Raw genomic sequence first — 26,301 nt, forward strand, 5'->3', positions numbered from 1 at the left:
AAAATGCAATTCTTACATTAACCACGACAAGTGGCTCTAAGTCAGGTAACTTGACTAATAATGTACTGATGATAAGGCTAAAGAGTTCTGCCACCTAGAGTTAAGAAGCTTTATCTAGAAAACTATTTCCCATTACTAAAATGCAAAGACTATAACTACTTAAGACAGCCAGAGAATAATCAACTGCAATCTCATATCACAGTTATAAGAGTAAATTATATACTAGAATTGTCCTGAACCCCCAAATCATGGAAAAATGCGTGCTTAACTAGATAATGTACAATATGGCTTAAAACTTCAAGAAAAACAAAGCTATTTTAAAAAAATCTTTTAGAAGAAAAATAAACTAGGAATTATTTCTAAGTTTCTTAAGAAAATGAATACCATGAAAAAACTTTCTTTGCAACTAACACAAATGACAAAAACGAGACATGTTATTCTGTTGGAAACAGAAAGAAACCATTCTACAACCAGTTTTGTAATATATGTTTCAGTGTCCATTGACTGGCATATTTAGAATCTACATGGATCAACTACTAAAACACCATGAGCAACCTTTTCCAAGAGTCACTTTAGGAAACAATATTTATGGGCCATATTTTTTTCCAAAATAAAAAGAATGTATCTGAGTATCATTTATAATCTTCTAACACAGACTACTTATTTTACTGAGTAGAACAATGTCTGGGAGAAAACTGACATGACTTTATGACCACAAAAAAAATTAGGGCATAATTTAAAAGTACCAACAAAGAAGCAACTGTGTATTCCATCATCCTTTATATTTCTGTAGTATTTTCGAGCCTGAAGTATATTCTCATGAATTATCTAATAGCATTACCAAAATATTCTCTCCAGGTGAAAAAAATTGAAGCTCAGATAGGTGAAGTACCTTGCTTGAAGACTTAGCAAAGCTGGGTGCTGTGGCTCACACCTGTAATCCCAGCACTTTGGGAGGCTAGGGTGGGAGGATCATTTGAGCCCTGTAGTTGAAGACCAGCCTGGGCAACAAAATGAGAACCCATCTCTACAAAAATAAAAAATAAAAAATTAGCCAGGCACGTTGGTACACGCCTGTGGTCCCAGGTACTCTGGAAGCCCGCGGCAGGAGGATCGCTTGAGCCTGGGAGGTCGAGGCTACTGTTAGCCGTGATCGCTCACTCCAGCACTAGGTGACAGAGACCTCATCTCAAAAAACAAAAAAAAACTTAGTAAAAAAAACCATACCTGGAATTGGTTTACTCCATTCCATACACTGATTTCCTATAGTATGCTAGGCATAGAGTATAAGATAAATGAGAGGAAGTAGTCACCCTCCCTCAACCTATTTTACTGCCTCCACTCTCTTCCATGGGTTAAAAATCTTTCTGGCCCAGGCACAGTGCCTCACACCCATAATTCCAGCACCTGGGAGGGCAAGGTGGGAGGACTGCTTGAGCCCAGAAGTTCAAGGCCAGCATGGGCAACATCATGAGACCCCATCTCTACTTAAACAAACAAACAAAAAAAAACACAACTCCTTTCTGAAGAAACTAGGTCATTTATTCAACAAATATTTACTGAGTGCCTACTATGTGCTGACACAGTAAAATAAGCGGAAGTGGGGATCAGCCGTGAATACATAAAACATTAAAATCCCTGCCCTCAAAGAGTTTACAATTTCACAGTACAGACTGCAACAAATTTATGTATGGCAGCTGGTAATCAATGTGAGCATAAACCTGAAAAAAGTAAGAGTGAAGCATTCTAAATACCTAAGGTAAGAACATTCTAGATGAAGGAAACAGCAAATACAAAGGCCTTGAGTATAAAGAAGCCCCAACCTTAGGCTTTCTGACTGTTTCGTACTCAGCCAGCTGGTGCTGCTCCAAGCATGGGGGCAATTCTCTAAACAGAGCCCAGACAAAAAATTCCAGAGACTTCTCTATTTTTGCTATGAAGTTACCACTCTAACACCATCCCCTTAACCAGTTTTCTTTGTATATGACTGAGAATTTACTCACCAGTCTAACAAGTGATGAATACTCTACCGATAGGGCAGGAATACACAAACAAAAGGCTAAAATCTCTCTCTCTAGTCATTTGGACTGATATTGATAATTAACTACTACTCCCTATCCCCACATCAAAGAAATAAACACAGGGCAACCACAGCCTTTAGACATACAAATTAAGACTAATTTAGGAAACTTAAATAACTAATGCTCAGCAGTTGCCCAATCAGAAATTGGTACATGTTATCAATGATTTAGAGGAAAGAGAATAGCATTCTTAGAGACTGGGGAAAAAAATATGCCAACAAAAGAATCTTAATGTATATACATCTTAAAACCTTACAAGTTTAACTTACAGTAAGAGTGAAAACTTGAGCCTCATATGCTGATATGAAAGAGAACATTTCTATAGTACATAAAAGGAGAATATAGCATGACAATTAAAAATTCTAAAATATATCCATAAGTGTGTCTACAAAAATTTATTTTTATGTCCATAAATTACAACCTGCCACACCAACTTTCTGTCTAGCACAGAAAACTACTTTCTCCCACATGTTATGATTGATGTTACATGTCAGTACAAGAAAAGGCCTAATTTTGAAGATTAAATACATTTCCTTCTAAAAATATAAATAAGTAGTTTTCCTCTCTTTCACTTACCTTAGCCCAGTAGCGAAAGGCTAACACCAAGGGAATAAAGACAGGTTCTATTTTGCCAAGGGCAGTAAGTAAATCAGTAGTGAGACATGCCATATCGTTTCCTGCACTCACTCTACAAAGTAAACCACTGTGAATGAGAAAGAAACAAATTTCATTGTATTAATACCCTTAAAAGCAGAATACTTCAAATCCTGTGGCTATTTTCTTTCTAGTTATCATATTGTAACATAGTACCGTAAAAGCCCTAATAAAAACAAATGTTTTAATAAATTTAGAGCTAACTGAAAACTACATGTCATTCCATAACTAGAGTTCCATACGAATTAAAGAAAGATGTTTTTAACATTCATTTGTACTTCAGAAATAAATTTCAACCAAACTTAGTATTTAAGTTAATGAGAAATTAATTTCAAAAGCAGCATTATGAATTATCAAAACTGATATACATGAGAGACAGGGCACTGATCTCTTCAATGTCAAATAGTGCAAGGTAATTTCCTAGTTCAATCCTCTTGCTTTCTACATGATAATAGCAAAAAATGAATACTTAACTGACTGGCTATACTTCTTGACTCTAATTTTTCCTATCCAAGCTTTCACAATTGTACTAATATGTTATTTTCAGAGTAAAGATTAGACAGGATTTGCAGATTAACCCACAAATTATACTTCTGTGTAAGTGAAAATAGCAGCAACCTTAAATGGGATGACAGAAGTGTAGTGAAGATATTTTGAAAGCAGGGAGAAGAATAAATCTGAGGTGTCACACACAGGCAATTTAACACAATGTGGCAGAAAAAACACTAAAGGTCACTTTGCCTCCATTTTCCAATTATAGTTTCCCCCTCAATGATGTGAATCTAGACAAACTGATAAACCACTCCAGGTCCCATTTTTCTAGTTTAGAAAATAAATCTGAACTAGATCGCCATAGACTCATCTAGCTTTGAATAAGAAAATACCTTGATCTTAAAATATAATACAAGTTAATAATCAATAAAAGAATATCATTTCTGTATTGTTTCCATGTCTCCCACACTACTTTCAAATAGGATTTAGTTTCTGCTTTCAAAGGCACTTTGATCTCTTAGACTTATAGACATCTAACTAGAAAGGCAAGATCAGTCTTCAATTTAGGACTGATCTTGAGTTTATTCAATTTAAATCAACTCATTCAATGTAAGTGAAATAAAAACTAAACTCTAAATTCTAATGGATTGTGAGATCCTTGAGAAGAGAGGCTTTTTTTTTTTTTTTTTTGAGACAGGGTCTCACTCTGTCACCCAGGCTGGAGTGCAGTGGCACAATCACGGCTCACTGCAGCCTCAACCTCCCAGGCTCAGGCCATCCTCCCACCTCAGCCTCCCGAGTAGCTGGGACCACAGGCACACACACCCACCATGCCTGGCTGATTTTTTTATTTTTTTTGTGGAGACAAGGTCTCACTATGTTGCCCAGGCTAGTCTTGAATTCCTGGGCTCAAGTGACTGAAGAGAGGCTATTTCTTCTTTATGTCTGTATCCATAGAGCAAAGTAGTACCTGCATATAAGTAAATGCAATACTCTTGGGTGAGTGAATGACTTGAAAAAAAAAAAATTGAAGTTTTGCCTAGAGTATTTTATTTTCAACTGTCTGATGTTCTATATATTTCTTGTTCACATGCATTTGGTAAGCTTGCTATTTTTAATGAATAGAAACTAGCTTAGTCATATTCATCCAAGGAGAAATCTAAAACAAAAACTTTTTCTCTTAAAGATCATTCACTACAAATTTGGTTGTTGGGGTTTGTTTTTTTAAATATTTTATCTTCATTGTTACCAACCTTTTTCGATCTCTGCACACCACAACAGGAACTTTAGCGTGAAAATCAGATTCCACATCTACATATAATACTAATAAGGAAAAAAAAAAGTAAGCTAATGTCAACATCTCTAAAATACGTACTCTACAGTAAACATTAAGTAACAGTTTCCTTCTGAAAATTATTCTCATTGCTTCTGTGGGATAATCCACTCTTCTCATTATGAGCACCAACCCAGCGAAATCTCTTACCTCTCCTGGTGTCATTTGCTGTATATCACAAACCACAGGTACAGCCCCAAATACTGTCCAAAAATTATAATCACCTTAAGAAAGGTCTTAACATCCCTAAAAGTTTTAATATTTCCAAGTAAGTAGATAATCTAGTCAAAGTTGTTAAACCTTCATAGATAACAGCAAAGAGAGGACACCCCTTACTCCTGAGAGCTAGTTCCACAGGAGCCATGAAAGGAGGACCTATCATGCTTTGACAGTTTAGTTCTTTTAAATTACCAATGTAATTACAACCTAACTCTTCAGGCCACATTTCCCGTTAGTATATGAAGAGTTTGCCTAATCAAAGCTGCTAAGGAAGGACTAACCGGATGAAGCACATTTCTACCCTGAAATCTTTCTCTGTATCTCCAAGGGTAAGCCCCATGCCATAAATGTCTAATCTAAATAAAAACAGATAGATTGGCCGGGCATGGTGGCTCACACCTGTAATCCCAGCACTTTGGGAGGCCGAGGTGGGTGGATCACGAGGTCAGGAGTTCAAGACCAGCCTGGCCAAGATGGTGAAACCTCGTCTCTACTAAAAATACAAAAATTATCCGGGCATGGTGGCACGCGCCTGTAATCCCAGCTACTCGGGAGGCTGAGGCAGAGAACTGCTTGAACCCAGGAGGCAGAGGTTGAAGTGAGCCGAGATCGTGCCACTACATTCCCACTTCAGCCTGAGCGAGACTCCATCTCAAAATAAACAAAACAAAAATAACAACAACAAAAAAAAACCAGATAGATTAACATCACTTGTAATTCAAAGAAAATTTCTCAATAGTACTTGTTGTAATTATTAATTTAGTCAAAAAACACGTGCTGAAGACCTATATGTCAGAAACTGCATTAAGCAGGGTCAATATGACAATGAGTAAAACACAAAAAAGGTCAATAAGGGGTTTGGGACACAAATATATAAACATATAAATCCTGTAGGTGACCTGTAGAAGATACAGTAAGAACATAAAGGAAGAAATAATCAATTTTACAATCAGACTGAGTTTTATAAGCCTACATTGTATGACTTAAGATAATCTACTTATATATCTTGGATGGAAAAGGCATATATTAAATATTTGTGCTAGGATGATACTACCTAGGAAGTCTGAAGAGGTAAATGCTATGTCTACCTCTTATCTGTAGTAAACTTAAAAGTTTTTCGGCAATTAGAAACAAGTATTGAAGAAAGAAAACTGTATTAAAATACCTTTATATGATACACTGTACCAAACTCATTCCTAGAAAACTATTTTCCCAAGACAATGGCCAACAGGAAACTGATAAGAGCTGATTGTGTGGACAGAAAGAAAAAAGAAATTTAGAATTCATATTAAAGCCAATGAGAGAGTATGGCTTTAAAAAAAAGCTCTCTCTTCTAACCCAAATTGCAAATACTTTTGATTCATATAATTTAGGGTAATAATAACAATCACAACAGCAAAAACGTAATAAGAAGTTATTGTATATCCCACACTTTTCTAAACTATAGTTTAGCCTATCTCATTCTTACAACAACTTTCTCATCAAAAAGATACAATGTAATATTACCATTTTACAGATGGGAAAGCTAAGGTATTAACACAAATAATTTGTCAAAGGACACACAACCAGTAAGTGGCAGAACTAAAATCTGAGCCCAGAAAGTCTAGCTCCAGCTCCCAAGCTTAATCTTAAGCATTCACTTTGTAACAAGAAAAACAGTAAGTAAAAACCAAGCAAATCTTGAAGATTGTAACACATGACCTGGAGCCTGGTTTGAGAATCTTGTAATTTTTAAATTTTTCTTACCTATATGAATGATGTGTTTACAAAGGCAATCCAGACAGAAAAAGCACACATGAAAAACTCAACTAGGTATGATTCAACTGATGTAATATAAATGATTAAATTAATATAGATGCTTTAGGTGGGAAAAAACATATTTACTCAATGCATGCATACATTTTTATTCCAAGTCTCTCCTTAATCTTCTTTCAGTAATGACCTCATAATGATTATAGGTTTTGTCTTCTTTTACATAAGAAATGCCCATAATATTCAAAGCAAATATTTTTTAATTACCCAAAAGGCAGTAGTTTTTTGCATATGAAGGTTTTTTGTTTTTGTATTTTCCAGACGGAGTTTCACTTTTGCCGCCCAGGCTGGAGTGTAGCAGCGCAATCTCAGCTCACTGCAACCTCCGCATCCCGGGTTCAAGCAATTCTTCTGCCTCAGTCTCCCGAGTAGCTGGGACTACAGGTACGTGCCACCACGCCTGGCTAATTTTGTGTTTTTAGTAGAGACGGGGTTTCAGCATGTTAGTCAGGCTGGTCCCAAACGCCTGACCTCAGGTGATCCACCCATCTCAGCCTCCCAGAGTGCTGGGATTACAGGTGTGAGCCACGGTGCCCAGCCTACATATCAATTTTAATATGGCATTTTTTTTTTTACCTAAGTTACAGTTAAATTATATTTTCTAGTATATCTATAAACAAGTGTGTGTATGTATCTCCATTTGTAATGCAATGACTCAACTATGCCAGCAGTTTAGTTTTAACTTGGTTAGCCATATATAAACAACACATGTACCTTTAGAAAGACAAATTAAAAAAAAAAAAGAAAAGAAAAAGAAAAGAAACTCACCATTTTTCTTTAAAATCCCAAGTACTTTTATCAGAAGATCTGGATGATTCATCTAAAAAAGTTTCAAAAATAAATCGATATACTAATTTCAAAGTTCGGACAGCAGAACATTAAGGAAAACTCAATTTCATTAAAGAATAACATTTAAATATAATCATGCTTTGTGTTTTAAATAGTGAAAACAGAATCGTGTTTTTTTTTTGTTTTTTTTTGAGATGAGGTTTCCCTGTATTGTCCAGGCTGCAGCATGACCATAGCTCACTACAGCCTGAACTTCTGGGCTCAAAGACTCCTCCTGCCTCAGCATCCCGAGTAGCTAGGAGTGTAAGTGTGTGCCACCACATCCAGCTAATACTTTTTTTTTTTTTTTTTTTAAGAGACAAGGTCTTGCTATATTGCCCAGGCTGGTCTTGAACTCCTGGCAAGAAGGATTCCTCCTACTTTTGCCTCCCAAAGCACGGGAATTATAAGCATGAGCCACCTTACCTGGCCATGTTTTACTTTTATGTCAACAAATCTTGTTCAAAGAAGTAGAATCTAATAAATGATATAGCACTTTTATTCCAGAAACACTCTTAGAATTAATGGTTTCTTAAAGCAAGAAAAGGTTCTGGAATTTCCCATCAAAACAAAAGAGAAATGAGTTGACCAGATGACTGTGAAAAACAAATTGTTGAGATAAAAACTTTAAGGGATATAGACAACTGGAAGCTTAGTCAAAAGGCTTAGAATAAAATACTATTTTATGTAACAAGCTTGTCAAATGTTTAAAGTGTTTTTTGCTATTTAAGAATATTTAGGCCAGGTGCGGTGGCTCACACCTGTAATCCCAGCACATTGGGAGGCCGAGGCAGGCGGATCACCTGAGGTCAGGAGTTCAACACCAGCCTGACCAACAAGGTGAAACCCCGTTTCTACTAAAAATACAAAAATTAGCCAGGCATGGTGGCACACACCTGTAATCCCAGCTACTCAGGAGGCTGAGACAGGAGAATCGCTTGAACCCAGGAGGTGGAGGGTGCAGTCAGCCGAGACTGCATCACTGCACTCCAGCCTGGGAAACAAAGTGAGGTTATGTCTCAAAAACAAACAACAAAAATATTTAATAACCATACATTAATTATAAAGTAAATGTATCACCCTACAAACACCAAATTTTCACCCAAATCAAACCTCCCTGAACATAAACATATTATTCAATTTAAAACATAAAATATTGACTTATTTTAAAAGATTGATATGTCAATAAAGAATGTCAGCAGTGCTAAACAATATTGTTCTAATACTGATAACAATATTAGAACAATATCAATATTGTTCTAATGATTCTAGGTACTACTTATTAAAAGTACCCATATGTACCAGATACTATATTAAGACACCTGACATATATTAATATTATCTCATTTAATATAAAAATTATTATTCCTGTTTTGGAAATGAGAAAACTGAAGCTCAAAAAGTTCAAGCAACTTGCTTATCACAGATAAGATCTGAATCTAGGTATCTGATTTCAAAACTCTTCCCACCTTCTATACTGCTTACCAGAAGTATTAACTATTCAACATGTTCAAATATAAACATTTTTCCTTTTTCCAGCTTTCCTCTTCTGCTTCCTTTTGCCCTTGTCCCTTATTTCTTTTATCCTGCCTTTGTCTGAAATCTAATAGTAATTTCCAAAAGCACTGTTTAGTCACGATGGTAACACTATACAAACCAGAGTTTTATATTTCCCTATCCTTTCTCTACAAAGATAATCCATAAAAATTACTAAGTACTAGTTAAGAACCACACAGGAAAGATTCTAATTACTTACCTTGGGAGGAAATTTTATATCTATATTAACATCACTACTTTTCAGAGCAAATCTAGTCAGAGATGAGCCATACAACCTAAGTGAACATTCTGGAATAAAGGAAAAACATCAAAGCATGAAATAGCATGCAAATATGAGAGATGTAAAAAAACAGCGACGGGAAAATTTCACACACTTCAGTTCTACGTCTTCCATTTCTAGTAAGACAATTATACAAGAAGAACACCCTTTCTAACTGATCTATAGAATAAAAAAATGGTTCCCAGTTATGGAGTGTAGGAACAGAGAAGGGAGAGAGAAACTACTCACAGAAGCTTACTGTTTAAACAAAATTTTAGTAATAGTTCATTTAGAAATGACTGACAATATGTTTAGCATTCAATATATAACAGTAACTAATGTACCAACTTAGCTATGGCTACTGTCACAAACTACATTTATTTACTCTTAAATATTTATGTAAGAGCACTTTGGGGAAAGGATCATAAACATTCAATGCCAATGCTTTTATAAAATACGAAGTGAAGCCAAGTCAGTTAATTCTGTAAACCTAAAACCCAAAACACTGTGGTTCTCAAGAGTTTATAGAAAAAAAAGAAAAGCAGTAACACACTACTTACAGCTTTCCCAGACTATGAAACATGTTATTCCAAAAATCATAATAAGGCAAATGTTAAAAGGATCTCACCAGAGGCCAATTTGAAAATAATATGATTGGGACAGATCAAGAAGATTTAGTTTCTTAGAAAGTTTAACTTCATCCTCAGTTGTATATATAAAAGTCTACTTTTCAAGTTCATAAAATGTCTGAAAGTCATTCAAGTCACTAAACCCATAAAAATTCATTCCTTTTCTTATCATAGTAAATAATTTTTACATGTAACTTAAACAAGGATTCAATGTATTTTAGGTAGAAAGCCATATTATGATATAAATACTTTAAAAATTCCATTTTTAAATTTCAATTTTATATTCTTTCTTATAAATCTCAAAATGGATCTATATGAAAGTATAATTTATCAACTTTCCAAAATCCCTTTGGTGGGAAGAAATAAGTCTTACGTCAGATACATTTACTTTAACCCTATACTGATGCAAAAAAGATATGGGCTAAGCAAATAGTCCATATATAAATATCTAAAATAAATCTGACACTCCCTTGTACCAAACAATAAGCTTTTTCTAAAGGCCCTATTAAAGTAAATTAATTTTTCCCCACCATCAGGCAACAGAAATTTAGTTCAGTGACTGGATGAAATGTTTATACTGAAAATAATATAACAAAATAGTCCACTCAGAAATCAGTGATATTGAAAAACTAAAATATTTGACCGCCAAGAAATAGTTCTACATCTGGCATTTTTAAAATCTTTTTTTCTTAGTACAAAAGTGTGCTGTGCCATAATTCTCAATTTCCTTGTGTGAAATATTTCCCTCAAAAATTCATTCATAAAACAATAAATTTTATCTACTTTTAAGGAGAAAAGGGAAGAAAAACATTAAGAAATGTACTCTAGTTCAAGAGGAGCAAGGGAAGAGTTTTGTGATTTTCAAAATCAAATATGAAATGTATTTCTACCTGGTAAAAATGTCGTTATAACCTTTGACATTTCCTCCACAATTTCCTGACGGACTCTGAGGTCATCATCTGTTATTCCATGTTCTTTTGCTAATTCAATGACTGCAACACTTAAAGCAGCCAAGTGGGCAGGGGAAGGAGGTGGCAGAGAACGAAGCTCACTTTCTTCTTGTTTTTCCTATTAATGTAATGATTCACAACAATAAAAACAAAAAAAGTTTCTATTTTAATTGTTCTTATATTTAGCAGGGAAAGACAGAAATAAACTAACTCAACAAAAATATTCACCTTCCATCTACCAGATACCTACAATACGGAAGTGAACAAAAGACTTCTGCCTTTGGGAAGCAGGGTTTTGAGAATGAGAGGTACTGTGTGGGGAGGGGATGCTACTAAGTTTTTAAAAATTTGTTCCACTGTACTGTCTGCATAAATTCTGAAATGCTACATTAAAGCCAAGGTACCTTAAGTACAATACTAACTTGACGATTTTGTTGCACCAAGGCAGATTGTCTTAGATGTAGCAGAAAAGTCTTGAATCCTATCTAATCAGCATATACAGTATCAAGTTAAATGGTCACAGGAAAACTTCCTGCCTACTATTTACCAGTGATTTCTCTTTGTGATTTTATCCAACGCTATGCGAAATGTTCAAAAAACCTCTATTCTGCTAAAAGTTTTAAAGCCAATTTAAATCTAGGAGCTAAAAAGACACTTTGCTATATATATGCAATGACTTTTATTAATTATTTTCTGATTTAAAAAATGTTAATTACAAAAGCTACATAAAACACAGGAAAATACAAAGAAGAAAATAACCCACAATTTCATATCCTACTATCTCCTTCATTCTTTAACACAACTGAGCCACAATCATTCTCTTTTATTTAGTATTATTAACACATCCCCTCCCCACACAGGCATTTTCTATTAACATTTTTCACTCAAGAAACCATCTCTTATCTTTTGAAACATGACGCTCCCATCAGATATAATAGCCAAAGCTAGTTGGTTTCCCTACCCAATCAAATATACTTAAAGACTTTGGTCCATTTCTATTTTCACTAACTGTTACCATATTCAGACTTAACCTAAGTAAAGCTTACCTCAGGTAAGGAATTATCAAACATGAGGGGTAAGTCAAACTCATTTTTCTAAGTCTCTGTGATCATTTCTGCAATTCTTAATTATAATCTAAGTATCTAAGTCTTACATAAGCATCTAAGTTTCAGTACTTTTTTTTTTTTTTTTTTTTTGAGACAGAGTCTCGCTGTCGCCCCGGCTGGAGTGCAGTGGCGCGATCTCAGCTCACTGCAGGCTCCGCCCCCCCGGGGTTCACGCCATTCTCCTGCCTCAGCCTTCCGAGTAGCTGGGACTACAGGCACCCGCCACCTCGCCTGGCTAATTTTTTTGTATTTTTAGTAGAGATGGGGTTTCACCGTGTTAGCCAGTATGGTCCCCATCTGCTGACCTCGTGGTCCACCCACCTCGGCCTCCCAAAGTGGTGGGATTACAGGCGTGAGCCACAGCGCCCGGCCGTTTCACTTAGGATCCATCCAAAGAACTAATAGCAACAGACTTAATGAAAAAATGATAAAAGGCCGGATGCAGCGGCTCACATGTGTAATCCCAACACTTTGGGAGGCCAAGGCAGGCGTATCACTTAAGGTCAGGAGATGCAGACAACCCTGGCCAACATGGTGTAACCCCGTCTCTAATAGAAATACAAAAATTAGGTGGGCATAGTAGCAGGCACTTGCAATCCCAGCCACTTGGGAGGCTGAGACAGGAGAATCGTTTCAACCTCGGAGGTGGAGCTTGCAGTGAGTCAAGATCGCACCACTGCACTCCAGCCTGGGTGACAGAGCAAGACTCCATTACAAAAAAAAAAAAAAATTATATATATATATATATATATATATATATATATATATATATATATATATATATATATGACATTTTTCACAGAAATATAAAGATCAATCCTAAATGTACACAGACTCTCAAAGGACCCCAAATAGCCAAAACGATCCTGACAAAGAACAAAGCTGGAGGATTCACACTTACTGGCTGCAAAACGTACTACAAAGCTATAGTAATCAAAACAACATGGCCAGGTCAGGTAGCCCACACCTGTAATTCCAGCAACTTGAGAAGCCAAGGCAGGTGGATTGCTTGAGGTCAGGAGTTCGAGACCAGACAGGCCAACATGGAGAAACCCCACCTCTACTAAAAATACAAAAATTAGCCAGGCATGGTGGCACACAATGGTAATCCCAGCTACTCAGGAGGCTTAGACAGGAGAACTGCTTGAACCCGGAAGCAGAGGTTACAGTGAGCCAAGATCGTGCCATTGCACTCCAGCCTGGACAACAGAGCAAGACTCTGTCTCAAAACACAAAAGAAAACAAAACAAACCACTATGTGTACTAGCATAAAGACAGACATGGCTGGGCATGGTGGCTCATGCCAGTAATCCTAGCACTCTGGGAGGCTGAGGTGGGAGGATCACTTGAGCCCAAGAGTTTGAGACCAGCCTAGGCAACATGGTGAAACCCTGTTTCTACAAAAAATATAAAAATTAGCCTGGCATGGTGGTGCCTACCTCCAGTCCCACCTACTCAGGAGGCTGAGGTGAGGATGGCTTGAGCCCCGGAGGTGGAGGTTGCAGTGAAATGAGATTGCACCACTGCAGTCCAGCTTGAGCAACAAACAAGACCTTGTTTCAAAAAAATAAAATAAAAATAAAGACAGACATGTAGACCAATGGAATCAAACAGAGAGCCCAGGCCAGGCGTGGTGGCTCATGCCTACAAGCACTTTGGGAGGCAGAGGTGGGCGGATCACTTGAGGTCAGGAGTTCAAGACCAGCCTGGCCAACATGATGAAACCCCGTCTCTACTAAATTAAAAAAATATATATACATATATATACATATATATACACACACACACATATATATATAAGCTGGGTGTGGTGGTGCATGCCTGTCTGTAATCCCAGCTACTTGGGAGGCTGAGGCAGGAGAATTGCTTGAACCAGGGAGGTGGAGGTTGCAGTGAGCTGAGATCATGCCATTACACTCCAGCCTGGGCAACAGAGCTAGATTCTGCTCAAAAAAAAAAAGAACAGAGTGCCCAGAAATAAACCCTGGCATGTATGGTCTAATGATTTTTGACAAGGGTGCCAAGAACACTCAATGGGGAAAGGACAGTTTTTTCAACAAATGTTGCTGGGAAAACTGAATATCTACATGTAAAAGAATGAAGCTGGACTCTGACCTTAGATCATATACAAAAATTAACTCAAAATGGATCAAAGACCTAAATGTCAGAAACTAAAACTAGGCCAGGTATAGTGGCTCACAGTTGTAATACTCTGGGAGGCCAAGGCAGGAGGACTGCTGAAGCCAAGAAATTTGAGATTAGCCTGGGCAACATAGTTGAGACTCCACCTCTACAAAAATAAAAAATTAGGCCAGGCACGGTGGCTCACGCCTGTAATCCCAGCACTTTGGGAGGCTGAGGCGGGTGGATCACCTGAGGTCAGGAATTCAAGACCAGCCCAACCAACATGGCAAAACTCCGTCTCTACTAAATACAAAAAACTAGCCGGGCATGGTGACAGATGCCTGTAATCCCAGCTACTTGGGAGACTGAGGCAGGAGAACTGCTTGAACTCAGGAGGCGGAGGTTGCAATGAGCCGAGATTGTGCCATTGCACTCCAGCCTGGGCAACAAGAATGAAACTCTGTCTCAAAAAAATAAAAATAAATAAAAAATTAGCCAGGCATGGTGGCACATGCTTGTGGTCCCAGCTACTTGGAAGGCTGAGGCAGGATCACTTCAGTGCAGGAGGTAGAGGCTACAGCGAGCCATGACTGTACTCCAGCCTGGGCAACAAAGACCTCATTTCAAAAACAAAAAAAGAAAAGAAAGATACTAAAACCTACACTTATAGCTATAAAACCGTAACTAAGAAATGTAAAATCATAGAACTCCTAGAAAAAAACAGAAGGTAAGTTTCATGACATTGGATTTGGCAATGATTTCTTGAATATGACACAAAAGACATAGGCAACAAAAGTAAAAGCAGATAAATTAGACTGGACGAAATTTAGAACTTTTGTTCATCAAAAGACACTACTGACAGAGTAAAAAGACAACCCACAAAATGGAAGAACATATTTGCAATCATGTATCTAATAAGGGATTAATATCCAGAATATATAAATAATCCCTTAAACTCAACAATAAGAAAACAAACAACCCAATTCAAAAGTGAACAAAGGATTTGAATAGACATTTCTCCAAAGATATACAAATGCCAAATAAGTACATGAAAAGATGCTAAATACCACTAATCATTAGAGAAATGCAAATCAAAAGCACAATGAAATACCACTTCATATCCATCAGCATTGCTATTATGGGGGGGCGGGGGGAGGCAGAAAACAAGAGTTGGTGTGAATGTGGAGAATTTGGAACCCTTGTGCATTACTGGTAAAGATGTACAATGATGTCACCACTGTGGAAAACAGCATGGCAATCCCAAAAAACTAAACATGGATTTACCATTTGACCCAGCAATTCCAATTCTGGGTATATACAAAAAACAAATGAAAAAAGGAACTCAAATAGGTATTTGTACATCGATGTTCACAGCAACATTATTCACAACAGTCAAATGGTGGAAACAACCCAAGTGTCCATCCATGGATGAAATGATTCACAAAACATGGCATACAGATACGATGGAATATTATTCAACCTCAAAAAGGAAAGAAATTCTGACAGATGCTACAACGCGGTTGACCTGAAGACATGCTAAGTGAAATAACACTAAAGGATAAATAATGTATGATTCCATTTATATGGGGTACCTACAATAGACAAGCAAATAGAAACAGAAAATAGAATGGTGGTTACTAGGGGCTGCAGGGAGAGGGGAATGGGGAGTTATTGCTTAATGGATACAGAGTTTCAGTATAGAATGATGAAAAAGTTCTGAATGAAGGTGGACAGTGGAGATGATTGCAAAACAATGTAAATGTACTTAATGTCACTGAACTGTACACTTAAAAATGGTTAAAATGGTAAATTTTATCTTATATATATTTTACCACAATAAAAAAATTTCAAAAAAAAAAAAAACCTTCAATGCGCCGGTAAGACAATGCAACATGTTCTTAACATGGAATATAAAGCATTTTGGTCTCAATTTGCATTTCTAGGCCTTCCTCCAACCATTCCCTCCACCCTCTCCAATATTTTTGACAGACATCCACATTTAAACAGTCACCAGTCTCCAAATACTCTATGTGCCATTGGGTCTCCATGCCTTTAAATCATTTTGTCCCCTATGTGTATCCACCTGGTAAAACTAATCATCCTTCAAGTTACAGCTTAAAAGTCAAATATTCAGCGAACCCTTAATATCTTTCTTTTCCAACATAATGAAATGCTCCATTTAAATCATGATTAATACTATCACCTGTGCTCTGAATTCCATCCTTCTTTACCCACTCAGTAATAATCTCCTTCTCCTTAAACATTACACAATCTACTAGTCTGTGTTTTCATTAAGTAAGCCCTCTTAGCCCTCTTTTTTTTTTTTTTTTTTTTTTTGAGATGGGATCTCACTCCCTCTGTCACCCAGGTTGGCGTGGCGTGCAATTGAGTAATCTCTGCTCACTGCAATCTCCACCTCCCAGATACAAGCGCTCCTCCACCTAAGCCTCTCAAGTAGCTGGGACCACAGGCACGTGCCACCACGCCCAGCTAATTTTTTGTATTATTGGTAGAGATGGGGTTTCACTATGTTGCCCAGGCTGGTCTCAAACTCCTGAGCTCAGGAGATCCACCTTCCTTGGCCTCCCAAAGTACTAGGATTACAGGCGTGAGCCACCAAGCCTGGCACATTAAGTAAGCACTCTTCGCCTCTACACTAACAGCAACAACTATCATTTATTGAGTACCCACTATGGACCTGGCACCGTGCCAAGTGCTTTACAGATGTTATGTCATTTAATTCTCACAATATTACTCCCCAGATAGATACTACCAAAACCATTTTATACATAAGAATACTGAGGCTTACAGATGTTAAATATCGTCCTACAACTACAAGGTGGAACTGAGAATTAAATCTAGTTCTAACTCCAACCCGTATGCTCTTTCCACTCCATTTAAATCATTAATCAACAAATATTTATGGAACAACTATATGCCAGGTACTGTGCTAAGATGGGAAAAAAATAATGCATATAATCCCAGCCCTCATGGAGCTTACAGTCAAGAGAGAAAGATTAATTAAATGATTATTTAAATTAAAAAATTAAAACTGTGATAAGAACTTTACTCTGCCAAATTAAAAGAAAAAAAAAACTGTGTGCCAGTCTAGCTACTACCAATCTTCCCTTCTTTTCTGCACAATGAAGTTTCCTGAAAGTTGAGTCTATTCTCCTTTTATTTCCTTATCCCTTCTCACTCAAAACTATGTCTTTTTTAGTTCTAAAGCAGAAACTGTTCTTCCCAGGATTATCAAAACCTCCTTAGTTGCCAAATCTGACATTTTAAATTTTTATTTATTTTTTAATTGACAGGATTTTGCTACGTGGCCCAGTATGGACCCAAACCCCTGGGCTCAAGCAATCCTCCCACCTCAGCATCCTGAGTAGCTGAGACTACAGGCACCAAATCAGACATCTTTTAAGCTTTTAGATTATTTTTATCTATATTATCACATTTTCAACTACCATCTTGAAACTTTCCTTTCTTTTAGCTTCTCTAACACCTTTCTCTATTTTTCCTATTATTCTACTCATTCACCAATCTATTCACTGTTCTTCCTCTACTAGTCCCTTAAATGTTTGTATTCCTTGACATTCTGTCCTTACTCATTTGGTGACCTCATCCACAACTATGATTTCAACTGCTGAAGTTTACCAAACCTGAATCTCCAACTGCTAATATAAGTTCCAGATCCTTATATTCAAATGACTGTGGGACATCTCTACTTGAAATGTTCTGTAAGTGTCTCAAACTCAGAATGTTATGAAACATTTTTTATTTCTGCTAAGTAAATGGCACCACAAACTATGATAACATATCAAATCAGACACCTTATGATCATTCAAGACATCCTAGGCCTGTACTCCCACAATTCTACATCCTGAATCTCTCTTAAAACTCAATTCCATTCTCACTAACTACTACTTCAGGTCAGTGTTCATCACAGCTTAACTAGATTATTATGAAAGGCTAACTGGTCTCCCCAAACAGACCCTTCTCAGGCTTCTTTCACAGAAGCCAGGGTGAGTGACCTTGCAAAAATACATGTTATGGCCAGGTGCACTGTTTCACACCTGTAATCCCCGCACTTTGGGAGGCTGACGCGGGTGGATCAGGAGGTCAGGAGTTTGAGACCAGCCTGGCCAACATGGTGAAACCCCGTCTCTACTAAAAATACAAAAATTAGCCAGGCGTGGTGGCATGCACTTGTAATCCCAGCTACTCGGGAGGCTGAAGCAGAAGAACTGCTTGAACCCAGGAGGTGGAGGTTGTAGTGAGATGAGATAGCGCCACTGCACTTCAGTCTGGGCGATAGAGCAAGACTCTATCTTGAAAAAAAACAAACATGTTATTAAACTCCATAATGCTCAAAATAAAAACCAAATACTATAACACAGAACACAAATGCAAAATCAAAACTATCTATCAAGCAATAACTCCCCATTTTCCCCTCCTCCAAACCTATGGCAAGCACTATTCTGTCTCTGATTCTGACTACTCTAAAAACCTCATGTAAGTGGAATCACACACTATTTTTCGTTTTCTAAAAGGCTTATTTAACTTAGCATAATTTCCCAAGGTTCATCCATGTTGTTGCATAATGCAGAATTTCCATCCTTTTTAAGGCTGAGTAATATTCCATTGTATGAATACTGTACATTTTGCTTATCTATTCATCCATCAATGGATATCTGAATTGCTTCCACATACTAGCTATTGTGAATAATGTTGCCATGAACCTGGTTGTATAAATATCTCTTTGAAACCCTGCTTTCAATTCTTTCAAGTGTATACCCAGAAGTGAAATTACTGGATCATACTGTAGTTCTATTTTTAATTTGTTGAAGAACCACCGTACTCTTTTCCATGGCAGCTACACTACTTTCATACCTGTCTTTTTTCCTAATCTTGGGGGGACAGCATTCAGTCTTTCATACTTAAGTATGATGATAACTGTTAGTTTTTTGTAGATTTTTTTTAACAGGGTCTCATTATATTGCCCAGGCTGATCTCAAACTCCTAGGTTCAAACAACCAAAGGAGCTGGGACTAACACACCCAGCTTTGTAGATGTCTTTATCATGTTATAGAAGTCGTCTTCTACTCCTAGTTTGCTTAGACTTTTTTTTTTTTTTTTTTTTTGAGACAGAGTATCACTCTGCCACCCAGGCTGGAGTGCAGTGGCGCCATCTCAGCTCACTGCAACCTCTACCTCTGGGATTCAAGCGATTCTCCTGCCTCAGCCTCTCGAGTAGCTGGAATTACAGGTGTGGGTCACCAAGCCCGGCTAATTTTCGTATTTTTAGTGGAGAGGGGGTTTCGCCACATTGGCCAGGCTGGTCTCGAATTCCCAACCTCAGGTGATCTGCCTACCTCAGCCTCCCAAAGTGCTGGGATTACAGGCATGATCCACCGCACCTGGCTGTGCTTAGACTTTTTATCAAAGCATTTTTGAAAACGCTTTTTCAGCATCTACTGAGATAATCACATAGTTTTCTCTGTTTGCTAACATGGTAAATCACAATGAGCGGGGTTTTTTTTGTTTTTGTTGTTTTTTGAGATGAAGTCTTGCTCTGTTGCCCAGGCTGGAGTGCAGTGGCACGATCTGAGCTTACTGCAACCTCAACTTTCTGGGTTCAGCCTCCCAAGTAGCTGGGATTTCAGGCATGAGCCACGATGCCCAGCTAATTTTTGTATTTTTAGTAGAGACGGGGTTCACCATGTTGGCCAGGCTGGTCTCGAACTCCTAACCTCAGGTGATCCGCCCTCCTCAGCCTCCCAAAGTGCTAGGATTACAGGCCTGAGCTACTGCGCCTGGCCAATGAGGGATTTTTTAATGTAAAACTAACACTGCACTCCTGGAATAAAGCCCCACTTGATCATGACACATTCATTCCTCTAATATGCTGTTGGATTCAATTGGCTAAAGTTATATTTAGAATTTCTGCATCTATGTTCATGAGGAGTTTTGGCCTAAAGTTTTCTTTCTTTTTTTTTCTCCCGTCGGAGTCAACAAGTTAAGAATAAAGTTTTCCTTTATTGCAATATGTCTCTGGTTTGAATATCAGAGTTACGTGGACCTCATATTCACAGACTGAACTGGGAAGTATTTCTCCTCTTCAGTGTTCTGGAAAAATTTGTACAGAACAAGTACATGTATATTGATCAATTATCCAGAGCTCATTAACTTTTTTCTTTTTGTTTAATTTTTTCTTTCTGTGTTTCACTCTGGTGGTTTCCACTGCTTATCTTCAAGAGTTCACTAACCTTTTCTTTTGCAATGTTTGATGTACTATTATTCCTACCCAATATAGTTTTAATCTTAGATGTCGTAGTTTTCGTTTCTAATAGTCCTGTTCATATCTTTTTTATATTTTCCATGTCTCTACTTCATCTCTGAAACATCAAGAATACAGTTATATTAACTGTCTTACTGTCCTTCTCTGCTAATCCTAACAAAGGCGTCAGTTCAAGGTCAGTTATTATAGCTGACTTTTCTCTTCATCATGATTTGTATTTTCCTGCCTCTTTGCATACCTGATAATCTTTGACTAAATGCTACATTATGTGAACTTTTTTCAGTGATGAGTATTTTTGTATTTCTGTAATATTCCTAAGCTTTGTTCTGTAATGACATTAAATACTTGGAAACCATTTATCATTTTGAATGTTGCCTTTAAAATATTTTATGTAGGACCAGACCACATTTAGTTTAGGGCTAAATATCCCTACTACTGAAACAAGATTCTTCTGAGTACTCTACCCAGTGTCCCATGAAGCACGAGGCTTTCCAGTCTGGATAGGAAGAAGTCCTGTATGAGCACCAATCACTGGTCTAATTTCCTCTGACAATTCTTTCCCTGGGTTCAGGAAGCTTTTTCATATGCATGCACCAATCAGCATTGTGCTGAATACTTTAAGAGGATCATCCACAGTTCTCTGGATTTCTTTTTGTGCAGTTTTCTCATTTTAGTTACACTGTCCTGTGAATTTTAGCTATCTTGGACTTAGTGCACTCTAAGGTCTCTCTCTTCAACTGTGAGAGTCCACTGGGTTCCCTTCCCTATAGTGCAACCTAGAAACTCTCAAGCTGGAGCCAACATTGGGCTCAGGCCATTTGTTTTTCATTCATTGACTCTGTCGCCTGAAAACCACTGCTTCATATTTCTGTATTTTTTTTTTGTTTGTCATTTCAAGGGAAAAGTAAATCCACTGTTACTCTAACTTCACCAAAAGTATACGTCCTATATGGCTGCATTCAAGTTTGCTTTCTTTTTGTTCATTTCTATAATGTTCTAAAGTTTCCCTATACGGGCTGAGCATCCCTAATCTGAAAATCCAAAATGTGAAATGCTCCAAAATCTGAAGCTTTTAGAACACCAACATGATGCTCAAAGGAAATGCTCATTAAAGTATAATGCAAATATTCCAAAATCTGAAAAAATCCAAAATACTTTGGTCCCAAGCATTTAGGATAAGGTATACTCAATCTGTAATGTGTATAGGTATAGTTTTCCTTTTTCTTTTTTTTGTGATAGAGTCTCGCTCCCTCGCCCAGACTAAAGTGAAGTGGTGTGACCTTGGCTCACTGCAGCCTCCACCTCATGAGTTCAAACAATTCTTATACCTCAGCCTCCCAAGAAGCTGGGATTACAGGCACATGCCACCATGCCCAGCTAATTTTTATGTATTTTTAGTAGAAACAGGGTTTTGCCACGTTGCCCAGGCTGGTCTCAAACTCCTGGGCTCAAGCAACTCACCTGCCTCAGCCTCCCAAAGTGCTGGGATTACAGACCTTAGCCACTGCACCCAGCCTAGGTATGATTTTCTTTTTAAGTTTCTTGCTTGCCCAGGTGAAACCCCGTCTCTATTAAAAATACAAAAATCAGCCAGGCATGGTATGCCTGTAATCCTAGCTACCTGGGAGGCTGAGGCAGGGTAATCGCTTAAACCTGGGAGGCAGAGGTTACAGTGAGCCAAGATTGCACCACTGAACTCCAGCCTGGAAGACAGAGTGAGACTCTGTCTCCAAAAAAAAAAAAAAAAAGGTTTCTTGCTTGCAAGCCCGAGCTTCCTGGAACTAATGATAGGCATCTTCTGACATTTCTGGAAAATTCCTAATTATTATCACCTAAACTACTCCCTTGTCCCTGTTCTATCTGCTTCAGTTCATTTGTTGTTTTCAAGAAAACTATGTTGAGCACCTACTGTTGTCAGACACTGTCCTAAGGAACTCAGAAACAAAAATAACTAAATATGCCTTCTAGAACACTGCATATTGAAGTCTAGAAGGGAAGAGAAGGTAGACAGCCAGAATACAATGTGTTAGATTTTCTGATCAAAATATGTGGAAGTTGTTATGGGGGCACAGAGAAGGAGTATCCAACCCAGACTTGCTGAGAGGGTCAGGTAGAATATTTCTTAAAGAAGATACATGAGCTAAGACCTAGAGATAAGAGGTTACACAGTATTATTACTGCTGTTGTAACTTTAAAAAGAAAAAATTAAATAGCTAATTTACTAATACATTTTTAAAAGCCCTCTATTCATATCTATGTCTATGGGATATTTCAATAGAAATAACTGAAAAATTACAAATTCCCGAAGCTTATAAGTTTCTTAATTGTCTGCACTTCTCCAGCTTCACATCACATCATTTTCCCCCAGCTCTCTTTGTTCCAATCATACTAGACTTAAAGTTACTCATATGCCATGCCTTTTCCTGCCTAAAGACTTTTAATTCATGCTGCTTTTTGTGTAAAATGCTCTCCCACTTACCCTTCTAGGCCACTCACCTTTTTGCCATTTAAACTACTACTTCATTCAAAAGTCACTTTCTCAGAGAAACCTCCCCTGTTCTAGATCAAGTAAAATATCTTCATACACCTCCTTAGCACAATCTTCCCCCCCTAACAAGACTCATTATATTTAAATCTTTATTCAACGCATGCCCTCATCAATTCTTAGAAAATCTGAGGGCAGGAACCACAACTATCTTATTCACCACTGCCTAGAAGTAGCACACAAGAACTCAATAAACATCAGTTGGATGGACTAATTGTACCTAACAGCTCTAAACTTAGGAATCAACATTCTAAAGGATGAGCAAACCGGTCTCAACAAGGTTCCTTCCTGATTATCTCAGATAAGGAAGGCAACAATTGCTTCCAAAGCTATCACTTCAGTTACCAATATAAGATTGGACAAATATTTCATTTTTAGTTTCACAAATAAAAAATATTCAATATGGTTTTACAACTTGAAAAATAAATAAAAGTATTTTTTAAAAAGAACTTACCAAAATATTTTTCTTATGTCGTTTCTCCTTTATATGTTTATGAGCCCCCTGGATATTTTCAATGTGAATTAAGCAAAGTTTGCATAGATACCGACAATTGGTATATTCTGGTGATCGCTGAAGAGACAAATTTTAAAAATGCACTTTATTCAGAAAACAGAGGAGTAAACTATTGACTATATAAGTGAATAATACAATTATGTAAGTAGACAGAAATAAGCACTGAAGGTTTTTTCTTTATCCTTTCCTTCTTCTAAAGTAATAGTTTTTAATAAACTTATATACTGAAGAGATAGTAGTCCTTTTTCAAAATAGTTATCATAGGAGATTACATACTAACTTTAATACGATATCTAACAATATCATGGTAATGCTAAATTATGTTTAATATTCACCTACTATCATCTTTAGAATCCAATGTAAGAAAAGCAGTCGGGCTGAGTGTGGTGGCTATGCCTGTAATCCCAGCACTTTGGGAGGACGACGCTGGCAGATCACTTGAGCTCAGGAGTTGAAGACAAGACTGGACAACATGGAGAAACCCATTCTCTACTAAAAATACAAAATTTAGCCGTGCATGGTGGCGCAGGCTTGTAATCCCAGCTACTCTGGTGGCTGAGGTGGAAGAATTGTCTCAGCCTAGAAGGCAGAGTTTGCAGCAGCGAGCCGAGATCGCATCACTGCACTCAAGCCTGGGCAACAGAGCAAGACTTCGTATTAACAAAAAAAAAAAAAAAAAAAAAAAAGAAAAGTGGTCTTGCTATTTAGTCTTATTCCAATGTTGTCCCCAAAACTGATTTCAAATTTAACTTGCAGCCATTTTGATTACCATAAAAAAATAAAATCTGCCCTCGAATTGGGGATTTCAAAAGAATGGGCCACAAACATGTAAGAAATTTCAAAAGTTGAGTTCGAAAAACACTCCAATCACAGTATCATGGGGATAAATGAATAACCTCTTGAGGTCACAACTGAAGGGAATAACAATTCTAACACACTAAACTATCAGTCACAGAACGTCACTCATACTTCGTGTATGTATTCTCAAAATACTAATAAAACTTAGTAATTACTGAATACTTGTTATGTGCCAGGCACTATGCTAGGTGTTTAACATACAATTTGTCATTTTAATTCCCCTAATCATCTGATTAAATTGACATTATTTTCATCTTATAGATGTGAAAACAAAAGCCCATAGAACCTGCACCTTTTACAAGGATATAGCAAGTATTAAGTGGAAGACACTGAATTTAAATTCCTGTACACCTGAATCTGAAGTCAACATTCTACGCAGATTACACAATAAAAAATTACAAACACACAATAAATACATGTGGAATTTTAAAAGTTTCTAATGCCTTACACTGAAACTTTAGCAATGCTTAGTTTTTATTTCAGATTGATTTATGATATTCAACAGGCTTCAGCTTCTGACAAAAAGATTCTTTCACCTCAGAAAATTACATAATTTCTTTTAAATGAGAAACTTGCTCCAAATTTAGCAACAATCCTGCTACAGACTAAAAATAAATATAGCCATCCCTTATAGAGTATTAACCTTTCAACAACCCTATCAGAACTCCCCATTTTATTGGCAAACTAAATCTCAGGGATTAATTTGCCCAAGGCAACAAGTAAATAAGAAAAGTTGGCTCAATCTAGTTATTTCAATTCTCTAGCATAAAAATTCTGTCAAATCAGTTCCTACTGGAGAATGAATTAAGTCCTCAAAGAAAACGCTACCTCTTAGTTTCAAAACAACTACTTCTTTACTCATCAAATATATTGAGCTCATATTATACAGCAAACATTTTTCTAGGAGCTGGGGATAAGAGCAGTAAATAAAATAGAAATCCCTGTCTATATGAATTTACGTTACAGTGTAAGGAGACAGGTAATAAACAAATGCACAAATATGCCTGGGGTCGGGGGAGTTACTGCTTTTTAAAAGTAGAGACATCACTTAAGACCTTATTGATAAAGTAACTTTAAGGAAGTGAAGGATTAAGCTGTGTGGATATCTGAAAAGACACATTTCAAGCAGAGGGAAAAGTGAATGCCAAGGCCCTGAGGCAGGAAGGTACCTAAAATATTTGAGAAACTACAAAAAAGTTAGCATAACTGGGAACAGAGAGCTAATAGGGGACAGATCACAAAATCCCTTGTGAAGACTCTGGCTTTTATTCTAAGTATGAGGGAAAGCCATTGAAGGTTTATGAGCAGAGAATTACAAGATCTAATTTATATTTTAAAAGGATCATTTGCTTTCTATATTGAGAATAGAAGCAGGAAAGGCTATTGCAGTTAACAGCATAATTCAATAATCCAAAAAAGAGATTATGTTGGCTTAGTTCAAGGTGAGAGTGGTGAAGGTGGTAAAAAGAGTTGCTTTCAGGAGTTGAAAGCATACATACAGAATACCTAAAGCCCTGTGTACTGATGAGGTCACTAAGGAAGTCATGAAATCAATCATATAAACTTTTCAATTGTAAAATGTTAGCAGACCAAAGACAAGTCTACCAAGAAAATCTTGGTATTACACAGAATGGGGAGTCAGAAGGCATCAGAGGACATCTCAACTGACCTTGGATAAAGCTGTATCACTACAGCCTGATTCTATCTCCTTATTTATAATAGAAAACTGCCCCACCTGGTAAAAATAATTCAGTTCTACAAGTAGCTCATCTTTATTTCTTACTACATACCAGGACTTGTGCTAAAAACTTTACTTGTATTATCTTATTTAATCCTCATAATAGTCCTATGAGCTAGGTGTTATAATTGTTATCAATCCCATTTTACTGATGAGTAAACTGATGTTTAAAGAATTTAAATAATTTATCCAAGGTTATCCAACCAATAAGTGGCAGAGCTAGACCCAATGACTCCAAAATCCACGCACTTGACCACTGTGCACAGTCTAATTACCAACCAACCACTTCGTGCAAGGCACA

The 26,301-nt window shown here is 37.2% G+C and overlaps 1 protein-coding gene across 50 annotated transcripts in view, besides 2 other annotated features; it reads right to left on the reverse strand.

Moving 5' to 3' along the window:
* TUT4 (terminal uridylyl transferase 4) overlaps positions 1-26,301 on the reverse strand; it is a 130,189-nt gene that overhangs the window by 62,977 nt on the left and 40,911 nt on the right. For all 50 annotated transcript variants that reach the window (XM_017000804.3, XM_047416324.1, XM_047416327.1 and 47 more), the window contains 6 exons: positions 23,345-23,461; positions 10,755-10,932; positions 9,176-9,264; positions 7,360-7,411; positions 4,481-4,550; positions 2,658-2,784 (listed from right to left, as the gene is read on the reverse strand). In XM_017000804.3, coding sequence (XP_016856293.1) covers positions 2,658-2,784; positions 4,481-4,550; positions 7,360-7,411; positions 9,176-9,264; positions 10,755-10,932; positions 23,345-23,461 — 633 coding nt within the window. The remainder of the gene's footprint in view (positions 1-2,657; positions 2,785-4,480; positions 4,551-7,359; positions 7,412-9,175; positions 9,265-10,754; positions 10,933-23,344; positions 23,462-26,301) is intronic.
* Positions 11,624-12,143: an enhancer, noted in NCBI's record as "H3K4me1 hESC enhancer chr1:52963547-52964066 (GRCh37/hg19 assembly coordinates)". NCBI's record gives its function as "activates a minimal SCP1, AML or CMV promoter by ChIP-STARR-seq in primed H9 embryonic stem cells {active_cell/tissue: H9 hESC(primed)}" and the evidence as "EXISTENCE:reporter gene assay evidence [ECO:0000049][PMID:30033119]".
* Positions 12,144-12,663: an enhancer, noted in NCBI's record as "H3K4me1 hESC enhancer chr1:52964067-52964586 (GRCh37/hg19 assembly coordinates)". NCBI's record gives its function as "activates a minimal SCP1, AML or CMV promoter by ChIP-STARR-seq in primed H9 embryonic stem cells {active_cell/tissue: H9 hESC(primed)}" and the evidence as "EXISTENCE:reporter gene assay evidence [ECO:0000049][PMID:30033119]".

Source organism: Homo sapiens, chromosome 1 (assembly GCF_000001405.40).
Source record: "Homo sapiens chromosome 1, GRCh38.p14 Primary Assembly".
NCBI lineage: Eukaryota > Metazoa > Chordata > Mammalia > Primates > Hominidae > Homo > Homo sapiens.